Source organism: Homo sapiens, chromosome 6 (genome assembly GCF_000001405.40).
Source record: "Homo sapiens chromosome 6, GRCh38.p14 Primary Assembly".
NCBI lineage: Eukaryota > Metazoa > Chordata > Mammalia > Primates > Hominidae > Homo > Homo sapiens.
Genome location: NC_000006.12, coordinates 66,049,562 through 66,070,454, shown reverse-complemented (window position 1 = coordinate 66,070,454; position 20,893 = coordinate 66,049,562). Strand labels below are relative to the sequence as shown.

At 34.1% G+C, this 20,893-nt stretch overlaps 2 long non-coding RNA genes across 3 annotated transcripts, besides 1 other annotated feature; one reads left to right on the top strand and one right to left on the bottom strand.

Annotated features, from left to right (window-relative positions):
* The first annotated feature begins 10,099 nt into the window (after positions 1-10,099).
* Positions 10,100-19,535, top strand: LOC105377840 (uncharacterized). 2 transcript variants are annotated; one of them, XR_942654.2, is made up of 4 exons: positions 10,100-10,161; positions 12,001-12,204; positions 16,295-16,381; positions 19,424-19,535. It is a non-coding gene; the product is annotated as an uncharacterized LOC105377840 (long non-coding RNA). The 2 variants fall into 2 exon arrangements; XR_942656.2 differs by lacking the exon at positions 10,100-10,161 and adding an exon at positions 10,173-10,414.
* Positions 10,409-10,578: an enhancer, noted in NCBI's record as "experimental_93910 CRE fragment used in MPRA reporter constructs". NCBI's record gives its function as "activates a minimal promoter by MPRAs in K562 erythroleukemia cells, with activity observed for both the introgressed and non-introgressed 6:66769855 variant alleles {active_cell/tissue: K562}" and the evidence as "EXISTENCE:reporter gene assay evidence [ECO:0000049][PMID:34662402]".
* On the bottom strand, positions 15,278-16,043 carry LOC105377839 (uncharacterized). Its single transcript, XR_942653.1, has 3 exons — positions 15,865-16,043; positions 15,535-15,640; positions 15,278-15,444 (listed from the first exon to the last, which is right to left on the bottom strand). It is a non-coding gene; the product is annotated as an uncharacterized LOC105377839 (long non-coding RNA).
* Positions 19,536-20,893: the final 1,358 nt, after the last annotated feature.

Below are 20,893 nucleotides of genomic sequence, written 5' to 3'. Positions count from 1 at the left end.
ATAAATCAGTTTTCTCACAGCACCCTTTGGAACTTGTGGGTGGTTTGGAATCTCAAATATTGACAGTCAATGATTGTCTTTTCATATATTTGATTTCTCTGTTGGTTTCCCTGTAATATGGGTCCTCTTTGACTTGACTTTTAATATTCATAGCATTATTGACTTCAGCTTATCTAATTTTGCTTCAAACTCTGTTTTTGAGTGTGTTTCTTCGAACTATATCATACACCAGTTTCCTAATATAATTTAGATTTTATGGTAAAGTGAAATTTTAGTGCCCTTAAATATGTCGCCTTTAACATATGGTGCCTCAATTTATTTTCAAATGTCAAAATGTAATTAATAAACAAAAAATAAAAAATAAGGTCTAGGTGTGGCGGCTCACGCCTGTGATCCCAGCACTTTTGGAGGCCAAGGCGGATGGATCACTTGAGGTCAGGAGTTCAAGACCAGCCTGGCCAACATGGTGAAACCCCATCTCTACTAAAAATACAAAAATCAGCTCGGGTGTGGTGGCGGGCACCTGTAATCCCAGTTATTTGGGAGGCTGAGGCAGGAGAATCGCTTGAACCCAGGAGGTGGAGGTTGCAGTGAGCCAACATCATGCCATTGCACTCCAGCCAGGAGTGAAACTCTATCTCAAAAAAAAAAAAAAAGATTCTTGACTATTAGTGAAGGATTGAATATATGCTTAAATATTTTGTAAAGCATAACTCCTACATAGAGTTGCTGGACTTAGCAAATAAAACTAAAGTACACTTAATTAAGTATGTCTTAAATTACATATTCCTATATTTACTCACATAACGTAGTATTTGTTATTTATCTGAAATTTACATTAACCTGAGAGCCCTGTATTTTACCTAGCAACCTATTACCACACATTATCTAATATTTATAATTGACACATTTATTTTTATTAATAGTTAAACCAGAATTGGCAGATATCAGAAACCTTAGATTTGAGACCTAGAAGGAAGTCTTATTTAGAATAATTATTAACTATTCAATATCTTGCATACAAAGTATTCATTTTATAGAGCTATTTTTTAAATATCAGGATTTTTTGGCTTTATCTAAACCACATCTTTAAATGGGGGCTTATTTAATTACTTTTTTTTGAGTAATTTTTGCGATCATAATTTTTGTTCTTTCCTTTTTTGCTTGTCACTATAACCTCTGCCATTTTTACCACTTTTTATTTTTTATTATACTTTTCTCTATTTCCTAAGTGGATTTTTCTTAATTCATTTTGAATTTTCAATTGCTGTCTTCTTGTTATCTATTCTTCCTGAAGAAATCCCATAAATCAACTAAACACCTGATTCAGATTAAATGCTTTATTACTTGATGACTCAACAAATATTTTAATGATATTTAATATTTAATAACATTTTAATGACTTAAGAACTTTTATCACTGACCACAAAAATCAGGTAAACATCCCCTGAAAGACACATGAGAGGCATTCAGTTTCTTAAATCAAATTATTAATATATGTATATAACACAGCTATACTTGTATGTTTTCAAAAACAAGATAATTCCTCAAGAAAATGCTTTTATAATTAAATTATCATACAGAAAAATACATAACTGAAACATTTCCAAAAATTGAATATAATAAAAATATATCACTGTGAACCATTTGAAAAGACACACAGATTCATTCAGGAGTAGGCCCATTTTAAGAATTTAAACACTTAAGGCACATCAGAAACAATTCCAGCAATAAGTCATTGGTTTGTCAAAGCCAGTATAACAATACCCTCATTAACTATTTTGTGAGTGCTTAGTGTGTATGAGCCAGGATTGCACTTACTTAGCTAGCATTTTACCTTCATTTCCACGTTCCATCTTTACTTTAACACTGTGAGATAGCAATATTCTTCTTGCTTTTCAGAAGAGAAAATGTATGGCCTTTTAGAACAGATTTTTTAAATTTCAAAAAACAAAATGTATATTAAGCAATTATATTTAAATGTGCTTTAATATTTAAGGGTAGGTAAAATAAAAATAGGTAACTTTTGTTTTTAACCATTATCACTACTTATCTTTTTCTGGGATAGAAACTCTTCATTGCTCCTCACAAGGAAATAGAATATTGCATCTGAGACAATTGCATACTAACACAGTTAAACCTCAATTTCCACCCCAGTATGCTAAATGCTAGCAGTGATTTTGGGCAAAATACCCTTAGGCTTCATTTTCTTATCTGTAAATTTAGGTTAACAGTCACTATATCATAGGGCTGCTGTGGCAATTAAATCAGACAATAGATAAGACAGACTTAGTATCTGGCTCATGGTCATTATTCAATAACTTTTGGTAATCATTAATTTAGCTTATTGTAGACTAAATTTTTCCAGGTTAGGTTTTGTCTCTCTTGTTACCACTTTTTTCTTTAGTTTATATTGAGTCAAAATTGTCTTTTGGCAGTTTTCTTTAGTGTTTATCTCACCTCAGTTATCAGAGGTCCATTTTGCCTTCCTAAATTCTTAGTTTATCTATTTTTCCTGCTTCTAATCAGCCAAACAAATAGACCATTCTATTACCAGGGGACTTTTCTAATCCAACACTCATTTTTCTATGTCACATTGCAGAAGCAGGAAAACAAAATGATCTGCTATAAAGCATGCATTTGACAAATGTTTTTTTTTTTTAAACCTTGACTCTGAAAAAAAAAATTCTCATTGCTTATTCCTTTAGCAGTAGGTTGGGGGTAAAAAGTAGGCAAGAAGGAACTTGCTTTCTTTTCCATACAAGCAACTACCTTGAATAATTGACACACTATGTGAAATTATCTAAAAACCTTAAAACATGATAAAACTTGATTAGGTTTTTAATTAAAAAGTTAAGAAATGGTCATCATGCTAAGTCAAGCAAACTGGTGTTATGCCTATGTCCCTTCTTCTTAAGATAATCATACAATAGGAATTCAATTGAGTTGTTTTCATTTTTCTTTTTTTAGAACCTTTAATGTAAAATATCTCAACAAATTACATAATTACATCTTCAGAATTTATGTGAAAAATCATGAATAGATATAATGAAATATTAGGCATAGATGCAAAACACATATATAAATGTATAACTGTATATATAGATAAATGTATTTATTTTATATATTTATATATTTATACATAAACATATATATACATATATATATGTTACTGCCTGTGTTTATAGAACTGCACACAGGTAAATATGAGAACTTGATGGAAGCTTATTAAAATATTAATCATTTTGCAGTTGAAGGCCATAATCCTAAAAGAACACAGGAATAGAAAACCAAAGCCTACATGTTCTTATTTATAAGTGGGAGCTAAACACTGAGCACACATGGACATAAACATGGGAACAATGTACACTGTAGACTGCTAGAGCGGGGAGGAGAGATGAAGTCCTGGGTTGGAAAACCACTTGTTGAGAACTATGCTTAGTGCCTGGACGCGGGATCCGTATCCCAAACCTCAACATCATGCAATATTTCCATGCAACAAACCTGCACATGTATGCTCTGTATCTAAAATAAGAGCTGAAATTTAAAAAATTAATACTTTTATCCTGTGATTTGATTTCTTTTGATATGTGTAACTTGGTAGTTTCTGAATTTTCAAACATGAACATCTAATTATACTAAAATCAGATATAAGTAGCATCAAAAGAGAAAAGGAAATATAAGACAAAGAGGGGAAGAAAAATAAAATCAGATAAAAATCATTTCTAAAATGCATTTTTAAAAAGATTAAAATGGTTTGAAAAAAGAAACTAACACAGAAAAGAGACGGTGAGCACAAAGACAGTTCAGTATTAAGCCTGCAGTAAATGGTTTTTGCACACATTTTTACTTTTTCAAAGACAAGGCTAGACAGATGACAGGAGATCCAACATATTGAGAGTGGTGAATAGTTTTTAAGGGTTGATTATGTTCCTGTTTTCTCCCCTTCTACTGCTTCCAACTTAGAGTCCGTCTTTCCAGTAGCAGAGAAAACTTGCAAGAACCAATTATATTATTTTTATTTCTAATGTTTAAAAGTAGTGGGGGTTCCTCAAAAAATAAAAAACAGAATTACCATATGACCCAGCAATTCTGCTACTAGATATGTATCAAAATGAAATGAAGTGAGTATGTTGAAGAGTTGTCTAGACTCCCATGTTCATTTCACCATTCTTCAACATGGCCGAGATGGAATTAGTCTAACTGTTCATCGACATATTAACAGATGAACCAAATGTGGCATATATACACAATAGAATACTCTTCAGCCATAAAAATGAAGGAAATCTTGTCATTTACAAAATAAATGAACCTAGAGGACATTCCATTAAGTGAAATAAGCCAAGTACAGAAAGACAAATAAATACTGCCTGATCTCAGTGATATGTGGGATGTAATAATATTGAACTCACAGAAACACAGAATTGTGGTTACCAGGAACTGGAGACAAGAGGTGGGAAATGTTGGGAAAAAATGCTGGGGGGGTTAATAGTAAAAAGGACATGCATTGAAGAGTGTGATTAAGTAAGCACAAGGGGTAGTTATATAAAAAGTCAAATCAAATAAATATTTTGGAGCATTAAAGTCACAGCCCAGACACATAGTGTCTTGCTGGCCTCTGATGCCGACATCTGCAACTGGTGAATACGTTCTTTATTTGGCTCAGGACAAATTCTAGGATGCCATGATCAGCTTTTAATTGCAAATATTTTCCCCCTCAGAGTTTACTGGCTGTAGGTCTTGGGTCCTGCCATGTACTCCCTTCAGCTTCCTGGCCCAGTGGTCCACCACTAACGTCAACTTTGTAGCTAATAAGTCTTATAATGGTAGGCTCCATAACAAATTTGCTGGCTCTCAACTTAGTGTGGCCATGCAGCCCTGAAAGAAGGAGAGGCTTCTGAATACTTGCTAGTCTGTCTGTCTTTCTCTCTCTCTAACCAGCAAGTTTCTATTCTTGATTAGGCTTTGACTTCCCCATTTTGACACAGAAGAGTGTATATGTAGAACTCCTAATCAGAGGGGTATGCATTCTGTAATACCTTCATCTTTCTACCACCTGCACCTCAAACTAAAATCCACAGAAAAGAAATGAGTATGCATGTAAACATTTGATTCTGATTCACCTATATGTTTCTCCTTTATTCACTATAAATTTCAGGAGGGAAAGGGAATTTCCATCTACTTCTCCCTATCTGAATAGTTTTATTACATACAATTCTGTTGCCCAGCCCACAAAACTAAAGTAGGAAGTATAGTTTAGAGAGTGTTTCTCCCACCCAAGTACTAACAAGACCTGACCCTGCTTAGCTTCTGAGATCAAATGAGATCAGGTGTATTTAGAGTGATATGCCTGCAGACTTAGACTATGTCACAAGAAAATAGCCTTGTGATTTTTACACCAAAATTTTGAATGTCACCAGCTAAATATTATACTTTATCTTCACATTTTTTCATGCCTAATCCTAATCTCTTACAAGGTAAAGAGACAAATTGGTTGAGACAGAATAAAAGTCATGTATTTAAAAAGGGAAGAAAGAAGTTTTTAATTATTACCCATTATGCAAGTGTGTTAGTCCATTCTCATGCTGCTAATAAAGACATATCTGAGACTGGGTAATTTATAAAGAAAGAGGTTTAGTTGACTCACAGTTCAGCATGGCTGGGGAGGCCTCAGGAAACTTACAATCATGGCAGAAGTGGAAGCAAACATGTCCTTCTTTACATGACAGCAGGAAGTGGAAGAATGAGAGAACTTCCATGCTAAGGTGGGAAAATCCCCTCACAAAACTATCACATCTCATTAGAACTCACTCACTATCACAAGGACAGCATGAGGGAATTGCCCCCATTTTTCAATCACTTCCCATGGGGTCCCTCTCCCAACATGTGGGGATTACAACTTGGATTATAATTCAAAATGAGATTTGAGTGGCTACACAGAGCCAGACCATACATTCCACCCCTGGCCCCTCCCAAATCTCATATCCCTTTCACATTTCAAAACACACTCATGCCTTTTCAACAGTCCCTCAAAGTCTTAACTAATTCCAGCAAAAGTCCAAGTTCAAAGTCTCATTTGAGACAAGACAAGCCCCTTCCACCTGTGAGCCTGTAAAATCAAAAGCAAGTTATTTACTTCCTAGATGCAATTGAGGTACAGAAATTGGTACCTCAATTAAATATACTCATTAAATACACTCATTCCAAATGGGAGAAATTGTTCAAGACAAAGGGGGTTACAGGCCCCATGCAAGTCCAAAATCCAACAAGAAAGTAATTAAATCTTAAAGTTCCAAAACATCTCCTTTGACTCCATGTCTCACATGCAGGTCATGCTGATGCAAAAAGTGGGCTCCCACAGCCTTGGGCAGCTCCCCCCTTGTGACTTTGCAGGATAAAGACCCCTCCCAGCAGTTTTCACAGGCTGGTGTTGAGTGTCTGCAGCTTTTCCAAGCACACGGTGCAAGCTGTTGGTGGATCTACCATTCTGGAGTCTGCAGAATGGTGGCCCTCTTTCCACAGCTCCACTGAGCAGTGCCCTAATGGGGACTCTGTGTGGGCTCCGACCCCACATTTCCCTTCTGCACTGCCCTAGCAGAAGTTCTTCATGAGGACCCCACCCATGCAGCAAACCTCTGCCTGGACATCTATACAACCTCTGAAATCTAGGTGGAGGTTCCTAAACATTAATTCTTGAGTTCTGTGCATCCACAAGACCTACAGCACATGGAAGCTGCCAAGGCTTGGGGCTCACATCTTCTGAAGCAATGGCCTGAGCTGTACCTTGGCCCCTTTTAGCCATGGATGGAGTGGCTAGGAAGCAGGGCACCAAATCTCTAGGCTGCACACAGCAGGGGGGCCCTGGGCCTGGCCCTGGCATGAAAGGGGCTGCTGTGAATATCTCTGAAATACCCTGGAGACATTTTCCCCATTATCTTGGTGATTAATATTCTGTTCCTTTTGTACTTATGCAAATTTCTGCAGCAGGCTTGAATTTCTCTTCAGAAAATGGGGTTTTCTTTTCTACTGCATTGTCGGGTTGCAAATTTTCCACACTTCTATGCTTTGCTTCCTCTTGAACACTTTGCCACTTAGAAATTTCTTCCACCAGATACCCTAAATCATTTCTCTCAAGATCAAAGTTCCACAGATCTCAAGGGCTAGGGTAAAATGCCACCAGGCTCTTTTCATACCAAGAGTGACCTTTACTCCAGTTCCCAACAAGTCACTCATCTCCATTTGAAGCCACTTCATCCTGGACCTTATTGTCCATATCACTACCATCATTTCATTCTGAGCCATTCAACAAGTCTCTGGGATGTTCCAAACTTTCTCACGTTTTTCTTGACTTCTGAGTCCTCCAAACTGTTCCAATGTCTGCCTATTACCTAGTTCCAAGGTTGCTTCCATATTTTTGAGTATTCTTATAGCAGCACCCCACTCTACTAGTACCAATTTACTGTATTAGTTCATTCTCACGCTGCTGATAAAGAAAGACCTAAGAATGGGTGATTTATAAGGGAAAGAGGTTTAATTGACTCACGGCTCAGCATGGCTTGGGAGGCCTCAGAAAACTTACAATCACGGTGGAAGAGGAAGCAAACACATTCTTCCTTACGTGGCAGCAGAAAGGAGAAGAATGAGAGAATTGCAGAGCAAAGAGGGGAAAAGCCCCTCACAAAACCATCATTTCTGAACTCACTTACTGTCCTGAGAACAGCATAAAGGAAGTGCCCCCATGATCCAATCACCTCCCATGAGGTCCCTCCCCCAACATGAGGGAATTACCATTCAGATTCTAATTCAAGATGAGATTTGAGTGGGGACACAGAGCCAGACCATGTCAGCATACTATCACAGACACTTTGAAAAAAACTGCTTCAATAACTATATGCTGTCCTACAAGGGGGTTGTAACATAACCCATTTAAATGGCTTCATAATATTCCAAATTTAATTAAATTTTACATTTTATATTTGTGTGTATTATCTCTTTCCAGAAATTAATATACTAATGTCATTGTCAGATAAACATTTATTCTAAAGTTGTTATTATTATTATTCATAGTTCTTAAACTTGGGGCTTCCATATTTGGAAATATCAGCATTCAGATCAGTGAGATTACCTGTCAGAAAGATGCTAGAAGACATGTCAGTTTAATTGTGCCTTTTAATTTACAGATTTTCTTTTTCCATGAACAACTGCCTTTTTTATTTGTAACTTTTTGTCTTTATGTATACTAGAAAATATCTTCAGTATCATTAATGGCTTTTCTTATTCATACCACATAATTATATTTAATTCATATGAATTAAATTCATATTTAATTAATATGAAGACAATTTACTATAATCTTTCATTTTTAGAAAAGCAATGTGTGGGCTCTTTAAATAAAAATTAATAGTTCATTGAATATGAATAATTATCTAGTATTTTATACTTTTTATATAAATTCACTAAGAAATTTTACTGCATAAATACACTCATTCCAAATGGGAGAAATCGGTCAATCCTTTTCCAAGATTCTTCATAGCTGCTAAGTATTTTAAGGTCTTTAATTTCTAATGTAAAAGTCTTAATTAGTCCAATTATTTTCTCTTAGTTATAATATCATTTTAAAAAGTGTTTTGGGGACCAGTTCTTTCTATAGTTACTAGGAATTCAAGAGTGATTATAACTTACTAAAGTGGGATCCATTTGATCTCACCCTCTGGAAGAGATTTAGCAATATACTATCTAAATAGCATTAAAGCAATCCATTTTATTCATGTAAACTCTGAGAAAAACACATTATTTATTTGTACTATTTCAGCCAAATTCCAATACAACATATAGTTTCATTACAGGAACAGAACTTAGTAGTCCTTAAGTGATAAAGGAAAGTACACTAAAACAATATATTCAGAGTTTAGGGTGGAGGCTTGGAGCTCATATTTATCATTGCCTCAGCCTCCTTTAGTGTTTCAAACTCTTGCGGCTGTACACAAAAGGACTGATAACAGAATCACAAGCCTAGTACAATTTTAACAGCTGAACATGCACACAATCTACTCAAATGCACAGTGTTCTAAATATTTAGAGAATAAATCTTAGATGATAAGTTTAAGTAAGGCTTTCTCTTCTCTCACCATTATAGATAGCTGATCACCCTAAAAAACTCTGCATCTACTTAAACCTTTGAGATTCAGGGTTGCTGAATAAGTAACGTGCTTGCAAGGAGAGATGCCGTACAGACTCTACTCTAGAAAGCAGAGGGGTGTAAAGAAGTCCACTTACGTGTCCTAACTTCAACAGAAGAGTGTCCAGGGTTTTAAGTATCCTACATACTGAGCAATAGAAATAGCAACATTTTCTCTGAAAACAAAAAGGTAAATATGGAGTAGACAGAGAAAAAGAGGTAAGGAAACAATGTTGGAAGTTCCCTCTCTGTTGTGAATTTTTCAAGCTAGAATATTAAATCTCTATTAGTCTTCCAAATTAAGGAACACCCTCAGACTCAGACTTTTTACGAGAACTAAATTGATTCATCACATCTGTTAGGTTCTTATTGATCATTCCAGTTCCTTATAATAAAACTGTTTCTTCAAGCAGCATGTTTTTAACTTTAGCAATTATATTGTAACATTGAATAAAACATAGATTTGGGAAAACTACTGTTCGCTAGCTCATTTTCTTGTTTCACATGAAAAGAAGTGTACATTTAGTTTATTAACTATTGAATTAAACATAGCAATGTTACCATCTTAGAAGGATTTTATAAAATTTAGATATTTATGAAAAGGTTTTATAAAACTCCAAAAAGAATAGAAATTTTAACTGACATAATTATTGGTAGTGTGATAAAATGTTTCAACATGTTTTGGACACATGCAAATAGGAACCAAACGTATTGTATATTTACCTCATAAATAAATATAGCAGTTATGAATATCAATCACGATATTCAGATTCAGGTATGTAAAAACTTTATTTTCAATAGCTCATATTCTGATATTTTCTTCCATGGAACTGGCAGGTAATCTTGTTTCCACACATACAACCCATCCCTAGAGATTGTGTCACAATTCTGTTTGTTACAGAATGTAAACATTTGAAGACAGCAGGGCAGATACTCAGCTCACATACGTTACTGCAAACCCATCTCTCATGACTGCCTTGAAGGTATCCATCAAGTTCAATGAGTTTTCATAGTTTTCTGAGACATTCAGAATATTTAACTATTTTTCAAAAGTTGCTTATCATCTCATCTGCCTAAATATTTTATGTGGCCCACACTCTCTCAACTTACTGCCTCCTCCTCATACTGCCAGAAGCTTAACCCTGTTCACCATTTTCTAACTGATTCTTTCGGAGATAACTGTAAATTCCATGTTTGAGCCTCATGATGACTTCCATGGAGTTTAATAGCTGACAGGTATCCCTTGATGTGCAGCTTGTCTGTTCTTCTACTCTGAAGAGCTAAGGTGTTTTCACGGTAGCGCTATAAATTTATTATTTTTAATAATATTAAGGAAAAACTTGAGGCTAGTTTCCAATGTTGATAACTCAAGGACACTTTCTGTCTAAAAGAGATGTAGCAATCTCAAAAAGAATAGCACATGCAAATTATATTGTAATTTTCTGATCATTTGTGATGCTTTAAAGAAGTTTCCATGTATAAAAAGTGAAGAGGACAATGGAAGAAGTTAGCAAAAGAAATATATATTGAATATATTAATTATAAACACATTAACTTAATATAATTTAATATGTATGTAGCAATTTTTCTACTTGCCAGGTGCCTGAACAAAGCAAAAAATAGTAAAACTTTTGTGTCTACATTCTCACCTGATACAGTGAGAATGTTTTTCTGATAACCTCTTGAAATGTATTGTCTTGCTTGATTTTAAAACAGTATATCTTCATGTTGTTAAGAAATATCACTGAATATTTCAAAAGTCAAAAGTATAATTAATACTTGGCTGTTATAGTTCAAAATAAAATACTTTTTTATTGCGTTTTTAACAAATCTTTGAAACTGGCTTCATATTTAGTATTGTATATTCCAATTTTTTAGATAAGTCTAGGTGTACATTTAGTTTGTTTTTAAATTCTAATGAAATATATTGGCAAACTTCTTGAAGAAATATGACGTATCTTGGCCAAACAAAACCATTCTAGGTGTACATTTAGTTTGTTTTTAAATTCTATGAAACATATTGACAAACTTTATGGAGAACTATGACATATCTTGGCCAAATAAAACCATTCTGAAAAGCAAATGGCTTATTCTTTTAATGTAGTTTAAAATTATGTGTGCTGATTTCTGTTAGTACGAAAAATAATAAATAGATTAAACTCGTGAGCTTTCCCATCACAAAAAAGTTCTCTGCCAAGAGGAAAATTCTGCTCAAGGCTGAGAAATGTGTCGTGTGGGAGGATGTACAGTGTAGTTTGCCTCCATTTCTAAAGCGTGCATTTCTAATATGCTGCTAAAGGGTAAAACATATCTCCCCGTAGAACATGGCATGATTCTCTTCACTCTATTTTATGCTTTCAATCTATTGTTCCACAGATTTTTACAGAATGAAACCACCTTAAAACTTATTATTTCACTAACCTGCAATTTAAATAAATTAGAAATGTGCTAAGACACATCAGAGCATGAATAAAAATAAATATCAGGGAATTCTTCACAAGCCAGTAAGAAATAAACATAAAAATGATAACACAGTAATATTACAGGAAGCTACCAACAATTGTTTCATTTTTTTCATAAAAGAATTTAAGTGTCAAAATATTGTTATCAGAAGATCGCAACTGACTTTCTTTAGATGGAAGCTATATTGCTAAAAGGCACAAGTCATTAATAAAAATGTATAGACTGTAAGGACAGATATTAAAAAGTATTATTTTACTTCTGGTTTCAAATCCAGCATGAAAAGAGTTTGCAAACAGTCACTTTCTTATGATAAAAACAATCCTAAAAAAACTGAAATTCATTTTTCTTTCACTAATCAGAAAACTAAGTTTGGAGGGCAAACTGCCATACGAAAATGTGGAAAGACAGATGAATCTGCAGAGTCAAAGACAAGATCTGCTTACCTGGAGCAGAAGCCATAAACTGAGAAACTGGACTTCAACAGAAAGGGAGAAATAAAGACTATCCCAGGCTCTGAAAGACATACGAAAGTAACTTCTTCAGGGAGAAGGAAAATCATATAGGTAAGACATTCAGATCTATATAGAAAAGGGAAGAGAAGGTATACATGAAGGTAAAATAAAACTATTTTTTATTAGTTTAGAAAACTATTTTTATGCCTAATTGATCTAAGAGACAACTGTTTGTTTAAAATAATTATAGTACATATTGACCATCCTTAATTTGAAAATCTGAAATCCAAAATGCTCTAAAATCTAAAATTTTTTGAGTTCCGACATGATGTCACAAGTGGAAAACTCCACATTCGATCCCACGTGATAGGCTGCAGTGAAAATGCAGTCAAAACATTGTTTCAGGCACAAAATTATCTAAAGTATTGAATAAAATTATCTCCAGGTTGTGTATAAGGTGTAAATGAAACATACTTTAATGTTCACACTTGGGTTCCACCCCATAGACATCTCATTATGTATATGCACATATTCCAAAATCTGAAACATTTCTGGTCTCAAGAATTTCAGATAAGGGATAGTCAACCTGTAGCAAATGTACTGGATGATTATAGCACATATTGTAAATAAAATGAATGATAGCAATATCATAAGTAACTGGAGGGAGAAATTGGAATACTCTGTTAAGAGGTCACGGCACTATATGTGAAATGACACAGTGTTATTTGAAGGTAAATTAACATTAATTGTGTATGCACACTGAAAAATCTAGGGCAAAAACTAAAAAATTTAAAAAGAATATAATCAATATGCTAAGAAGAGAGATAAAACAGAAAAGCCAGAGGCAGAAAATTAGGTAACAAAAGGAGAAAAAGAAACACAACAAATAGAAAATGACTAAAACATGAAAGTTATAAATCTGTGTCACAATCACTTTTTCAATGAATGTTCTAAATACACCAGTTAACAGGTATTATAAGGGATGATTTAAAAACAGACACAACTATATATTGCCTATAAGAAACCAAATTGAAACATAGAACCGTATTTTATAAATTTTATAAATATGGTATTTATAAATAAATGTCATACTTTTATAAACTCAGATACACCTTGCTGAGTAATCAAAAAAGTTGGACTAGTTATATTAATTTCTGCTTTCTACAGGGAAATCTGTCACTGATAAAGTTGAGCATTGTGTAATATTTAAGTGGTCAATTCTCCAAGACACAGCAACATTAAATTTGTATGTACTAACATCAGAGTGTCAAAAATTAATGAGTTTAAAACTGATAGAATTAAAAGGAAAAATACATATATTTATTATGATAGGTGGAGACTTTAACACCCCTCTGTTAGTAACTAATGTCAAGCATGCAGAAAATCAGTCAGATTGAGATAATCTCAACAGAACTATTAATCAACTTGATCTATAATACCATAAATATATGGAATACTCTATCCAACAACAGCACAATATACATCCTCCTCAAGCACATATATAACATTAACCAAAATAGACCACATTGTGTGCTATAATACATAAGTATTTTATGAAATATAAGTAATACAAAGTTTCTTCTTAGGCTACAACAGAATTAAACTGGATCTCAATAACATAAAGTTAGCTGAAAATTTTCCAAATATCTGGAAATTAAAAAATATATTTCTAAATAAATCACAAGTCGAATAAGTTATCTCAAGAAAAAATTTTAAATATTTAAAATTTTTCGTTTTAAGGTAAATGGAAATTAAAATCAACTTAACATGAAAGAGATAAATAAAAGCAGTGCATAGAGGGAAATTTATACTATTAAATGCCCATATTAGAAAATAATAAAGACCTAAAGTCAAGTTTAGATTCTACCTTATAGCAATTTAAGCATAAACCAAACAAAATCAAAGATGATAAAACTTAAATACTAATCAATTAATTTAGAAAAAGGAAAACATTTAAAAGAACCAGCAAATTCGAAGTCTGATTCCACAAAATTTAAATGAAGTTGATAAGCCTCTGGTTGGGCTTACTATGAAAAAAATTGAAGACATAAATTACTACATACATACTTCAGCTTTGACCACTGGACTTTGGAGGTCGTATTTCCAGAACCATCTACAGAATAATATGAAGGCAAAAGTCTGATTGGAGTCGATTGAAAAGACAATGATATTGAGCAATAGGAGACAAAAGTATATTCCCTTTAATATCTTGAAAAGTGTTGCTGAAAGATGGGGAGGAGAAAAAGTGACCACTATCCAAATTGGAGTCAGTGAGTATAATAAGATGGGAGTAATACAGCATGCTTATAAGCTCATAAAAATGGTCCAGAGAAAAGAAAAATTTGATGACAAATAAATAAGATGGTAAAATTGCTGGCATAGTGGCTTTTAAAAGAGTTAACAAGGATGAGATTTAGCACAGTTTAGTTAAAGAAACAGGACAGAAGACATGATTAAGGAGACTGGTGGGTATTGGATATGGTGGTGGTATTTTGAGTAAATCCTCTTCTGATTGCTTCAGGTCCACAGGAAAGTAGAAAGAATGCACTTGGGGTGATTGTTGAAATGAAATTACTGAGCATTTGAGAAGAGAAGAGAAGGCACGTGGTCATGTTTTAGAGGGGTTAGAGAATAATGGACAAGGGAAATATAGTATGATTGGCAGAGAGCATTAACTTTCCTGGTCACTACTTAATTTAACTACTTCGTTTGACTTTTAAAAAGGTTTTTATGCTATTATTAGAAGTATTATCTTACTATTTTAGTAAGTAAATAAAACCTGAACTGGTATATTGGCAAAATAGAGAGTTTAGTTTTTAATAAACTATATATTAAGAGGTTTTTAATAATATAGTATTTTACTTTAGGAAAGCAGACTTATCTTAATCGAATTCTAAATCATTGATGTAAAATCCAGATACTGTATTAGGTGGAAGTAAAATCTTGTTGCAAGTGTATGGATACATCTGCATGGAGCCAATCTAGAAAATTCAGGCAGTAGACTTCTTTTATATAGTAAGACTAGTTTATAAACAATTCATTTAAAAATGTCTGCATGAACTTCATAGATAATTTGAGACTGTTTTACTACAGAATTTTGTCTTTGACAAACTTAATAGGCAGTGCATACAAATAGGTTCTTATAAAAAGAAAGCCATAAAGTTTATATATGACCTACCTGTTGCACAGATTAATTACGTCACACTAGAAACACTGTGATTTATTTACATTCCCTTTAATATATTCTTGAGGGCTCTTTACAACTTGTATACGACAGTGCTGACCATAGAGAAGCATGCAAATTCTTTTCACCATCACTTTATGTTTCAGATAGTATATTCTGTTAGGCTCCTGGAGAGAAAATTAATTTGAATATTTTTCTTATAAAGTGTATATATATTACAATGTTTGAATGGCTTATTATGTCCTCTTTAATGTTACCTATTTATCTGCTGGCCTTTTTGTGATGTTCAATTGCCGCTTGATAATAAGGATTCACAGCAGTATGTGTTTTGGTAATAGAAAGTCGAGTTGAAATTATAGGCAACTGTGAATTAGAACTGAAAGTTAGTATCCCTCCTATTGAGATGAGTATTAAAGTTAATTTTTGTATTTTAAAATACAATCATGCAATCTACTCCAAATTAATTCTTTTCTGAATAATGGAATCATAAAATATTGCACCAGTGAGAAGTAAACAATTTATCTATTTATCCTTATTTAGCAATGAAATATCTATTTTCAGAAATATTTTTGGAAGAATAAATTCACCTGTTTTAAAAGTCACATCTTTTAGGTGTTGACTTCTGCCTTCCCTATAAATCAAAGCAGAAGGATGCAGCCAGGCTCAGTGGAATAAACAGTACAGCCATACAGGGGGAAAACTGTTCATAAACCTGAGTAGAACATCTTTGCTTGATAGAATTCCTTGGCTCTCAATATTCTTATTTAACAAACATCCACAGAAACAGCCATACAAGGTCAATCTGGAAAAAAAAAAAACAACTTCTACTAGGTATCTTCTGTGAACAAATCATTGAAAAAAGCAGACACCCACTCTCTCTCACACGATGCTTCTGTTGGATTATCTATTTTAACTTAGTAGCACTCATACGTCATTACAAGTAATTTTTTACTTTTTTCAGAATTTTATTTACCATGTGGTTCTGGATTAGAATCTAATGATAGAAATGCTTTGTAGATATCTGAAAAATGAAAAAGAAAGACATGTTATTTTCTGGAGATGGGGAGACAAGTGAACAGATGTGGAGTTTACTGAAGCTTCAAAGTGAGTCTTTCTAAACTACCAGCTTTATTTTTGCATATTGAGATAGAACCTTACAAAATCATTGGAAGGAATAGGGGAGAGACTGGTAGAGAAGCTGTCACCAATGCTTTTATTTGCAGAAACAAAATGGGCTTAATGTGAATCTCCAGATCCTTTGTAGATTTTTTGCAACACCTTGGCTTACATGCAGTCTTCCTGAACCTGAAATGAACACATGGATCCAAAGATGGTGTAGTGACAGTTTGACTCACCTTCAATGATCACTTCCACCTCTGGGGTGTGGAGCTGCCAATGCCAGAGGGTTTGTTGCATCTTTTTAAATTTGGCATGTGAGGCAGCCAGCATCATTGTCTTTTCTTGATCAAGAACAATTTTCTTTTTGAAAATATTGAGAGACAGAGACTTCCTGGATGACTCAGCCATAAATGGAAGGGGACTGTCAGCAAACCTTTGCCTTTTTGCATTTGATTTTCATTAAAAGAATGCCCCTTAGAGTCTTGGGGCATTCTTTAATGTCAGCGAAGGCAAAATAGAGCTTCTATTTAATTATATTTTAACCTTTTAAAATTTGGATTGTTGTCTATGGTTTAAAATTAACATAATAGTTCTAATATTATTTAACTTATAGAATACAATATTAATATCTATCTCTTGTAGATATAAGCCAGTAAAATGTTGCTGCTATTAGTTATAATCAACATTGTTTGAGAATAATTGAACTGCATAATGTATTATCAATTGGTAAACGAAAACTATTGGTATTTTTTTAATAGGCATCTTGGTTTATATGCAATGCTACGACTAATGGACAGTAAATTGGAAAAGGTTTATATCAAATTGTGGAAGCAACTTTGAGCTCATCATATAAATTGTGGTCATAACTTTTCAAGAAATAAATAATAGTGGAGTCAATTAATGTGAATTTTCTTGTGTCTCACTGACAACTCCTTGGTTATAACATACACTTCCCTGGCCTTTGATTGCTTTACTTTCTCCTAGCTTGTGTGCAATACCTGTGTAGTTCTGAGTATTTATCTGATCTCTTTAGTAGTAGATTAAAAAGTGATTCCTGTTCAAAGACATGAGTTCAGATTCAAGTCAAAATAATACTTCTGTGCCATATAAATTTCCCAGTGTCAAGTTACTTCTAAGTTAACAGGTAATGTCCCCTCCCACCTCCATCATAAGATGTTAGCTTTTACTGTATTCAGAGGAGCTTACATTGTGAGTGTCATGACATAGAGCTATGAATGAATGCAGCTTTTTGTTTTCCTCTTTATTAAAAATTCTTGTCCAGAAAATCAAATTAGGACCTAAGCAGAGACATCTATACCCATTTTCCCAAAGTAGAAACATTAAGAATAACTCCAAAAATTCGGCCAGCCAAACCATCCTTAGTTGTCTAAAAATACATGTTATCCTCACTACATAAGGACTCTGTCAAATAGCAAGAGGCAGTGGCATTAATGATGATATGTAGAATAAGCTGGAATTTTTTTAAAAGTGGAGACACAATACGTTAGGTTGGGAAGGAATTAATATAGATAAGCATCAGGAAGACAGAATTGGAAATCAAAGAGCAGGGACAGATGGGGAAGAGTTTACAGAATGAAAATCTGTGGGATTTGCGAATTAATTGGTTGTGGAGAAGAGGGAATGGTAAACAATTACTCTGAGTTTTCGAATCTAGTTGACTGAACAAATTGTGGTGTTATCTCTCTATATAAAGTGCTTAGGCATGTTTCCCTGAGACTCAGCTGGTCGTAGTTTTTATGATGTTTCCTAGGATTCAGCTGAGTGGGGTTTTCACTCAATCAATCCAATCAATAAACATGTCACACACCGATATCACAGAAAAAATGTAAATCTGAACCTTGGAAAATATATCTAAATATTCTGCATATGTGTAACTGTGTGTGTGTGTGTGTGTATGTGTGTGTGTGAGATGTGTGTGAAGTACAGCATATTAATAGCCTGTACCCAACCATTTATCTCTGCTAAGCACTATTTTAATATGGCTTAATATACATCGACTCATGAACTCACTCAACTTCAAACAAAAATGATGACTAGGTGCTATTATTAATTCAATATTTACAGAAAAGCAAAGTGAGGTTTAAAGAGGCTAAATGATTTTCCAAGGGGCGCAGAACGGGCAGACAGAGGCTTACGTGAAGTCAATCTCATTCTAAGCCTTACAATAATTCCTCATAATGTGCTTCACTATCCAAACCTCGGGTGGTTGGGAAGAGTAGATATATGCAGGCCATAGAATCTGGGATACTTTGGCAAAAACAGAAGGTCTTTGTTGAGATTATAAGTATGGATGAGGCTGCTTGTGGGGGAAGCACTGATACTCAGATTTCCTGAAGCATAGGATGAGAATACCCATGCTAGGAGAATAGGAGAGCAGGTTTAATTCATGCCCCATGGCTGGAACAACTCACCATTCCCATCAGAACCTTGGTGCAGAACTAGACTAAGTAAGGTTAAAGGAGCTGACCAATAAAAGGAGTTCTCAACATTGAAGGGGAATGCTAGGTAAAGAAGCCTGTATTTTAAAATGATTGTAAGATATTTCTTTCACCTTTACATTCTTCTCAAAATCCACTCATAAGGCTTTATCTATGTTCAAGAATATAGCAGTGGAAAACAGGCCCAGACAGACTAAACAATCTAGACTTAATAATAAACTGGACAGACTGACCACTGTATTTACATAGACTGACATGCTTGAAGTACTGACTATGGTAGACCCTTTGAGACCCTAAACAAAATGGACTACTGTGAACATCATTTTACTGCCCAACAGTCATTATCCTTGTTGTCCTTCAGCCTCCACCTTCTGTTTAGGCAACCTGTGTAATTCAAGGGAAGCTGCTGAATTTGAGCTTCAGGGCTTGATCCTGATTAAGAACTGTTATAGTAGCAATTCCACATTTTGCTGGTGAAAGGTTTAGGAGTGGACTTATAGCGCAATCGACTTAATGAGACAAAATATTTTCTGAAAAGTTTCTAATTTTTTTGTCTGTTTGTTTCCAGGAGTAATTCAATCCAGATTGTGAAGAAGTCTTAGTGCCAATTGCTCTGGCAGCCATGTTATGACCATGAGACAATCAGCCATAGAAAGAAATATTCTGCATGATAGTTTAGAAAGAAGCAGGACAGAAACTTCTAGAGTTACACTGATTAATGACTGAATCTGTGAATCCTGATGTCTGTCCTAACTTTGGATACATACTTATATAAGTAAATTATTTTCCTTATTAAAATCTGTCCTTATTTAAGCCAGCATGAGTCAAAGTTTCTGTTTTGGGTAAACAAATGTCTTTTACTGGTATGCTGACAATCTGATTAAACTGAGCAGTCCAGACACATAGATATGACCAGTTATGAATACCAGTTTGGTTTTATCAACAATTTGAGACCTTGACTACTCCAGAAATAATAATACTCTGGTACCTTTGAGTAATACCAGATCGGGATCTCTGACTAATCCTGATAGAGACACAGGTCAAGTACTTAAAAGGTTTCTGCGCACCTGCCCAGCCAACATCTCAGGAAATCAGTCATTCATGTGCAAAGTGAGAGCCTGATCACCCTACCTAGGCTCTGCCATGCTTCTGCATTTAGCGGGTGGGTGAGCTGAAGACCTGGCTCAGCTGGGAAAACTGGGCCTCTTTCTTTAAGTGGTCATTTATTGTAAGCTTTTTCTATTGGTCAAGCAATAATGTATAGGTCAGTCCAGATTCAAAGGGAGTAGAAATAAACCTAGATTTGATTGTTTATTTTCCCATAAAATTAAATTACAAATTACATAGCAGGGGTGCTGACAATGAATACTTGAGTAAAAAAGATTGCTCATATGAGTTACCACATAAAATGATTACATTCCTGATAGATAAATTTTTAGAGTTCCTCTTTTTTAGTCACAATTTATGTATAGTACTTTGAATAAGTTATTCCAATGATTTTTAGGTTGTTTTTCAGAAGTCCCTTGATATAAAGATGAGAGGAGAGGTTGGGAAGAAGCACATGAAGCTAACCCTCAGCCCCCACCAATTCTTCCACATTCTACTCCCTAGCAGCTCAACTTTATCTTTATGTATTGAGCATCTGGGTAATATTTTATTTGGAAAAATAATTCTATTCCTTTTTGTTTAAAGAACTTTGTACATTCTTCTATGACTTTATATGGTTTATAACATTTTAGATATTTGGGATTGTAATAGAACCCTTACTTAAAAAGTAAACCTGTTGTTCAGATCTCTCATATTCAACTACAGGTCATGTTTTCAGAATGACATTGTGCATAAAGCTATGAATCTACTTAAATTTACATAGAGACATATAGTATTATGAAATTGTTTATTACAAAACTAGGATTTTACCTGTTGCATAACTAATACCAACATTAATATTTGATATCGTCCTTGAGGTTGACTAAGAGTAACATTAAATATATTTGCTGTTTTAAAATGATAGTTTTTGTACTTATAAATTAACCTAAAA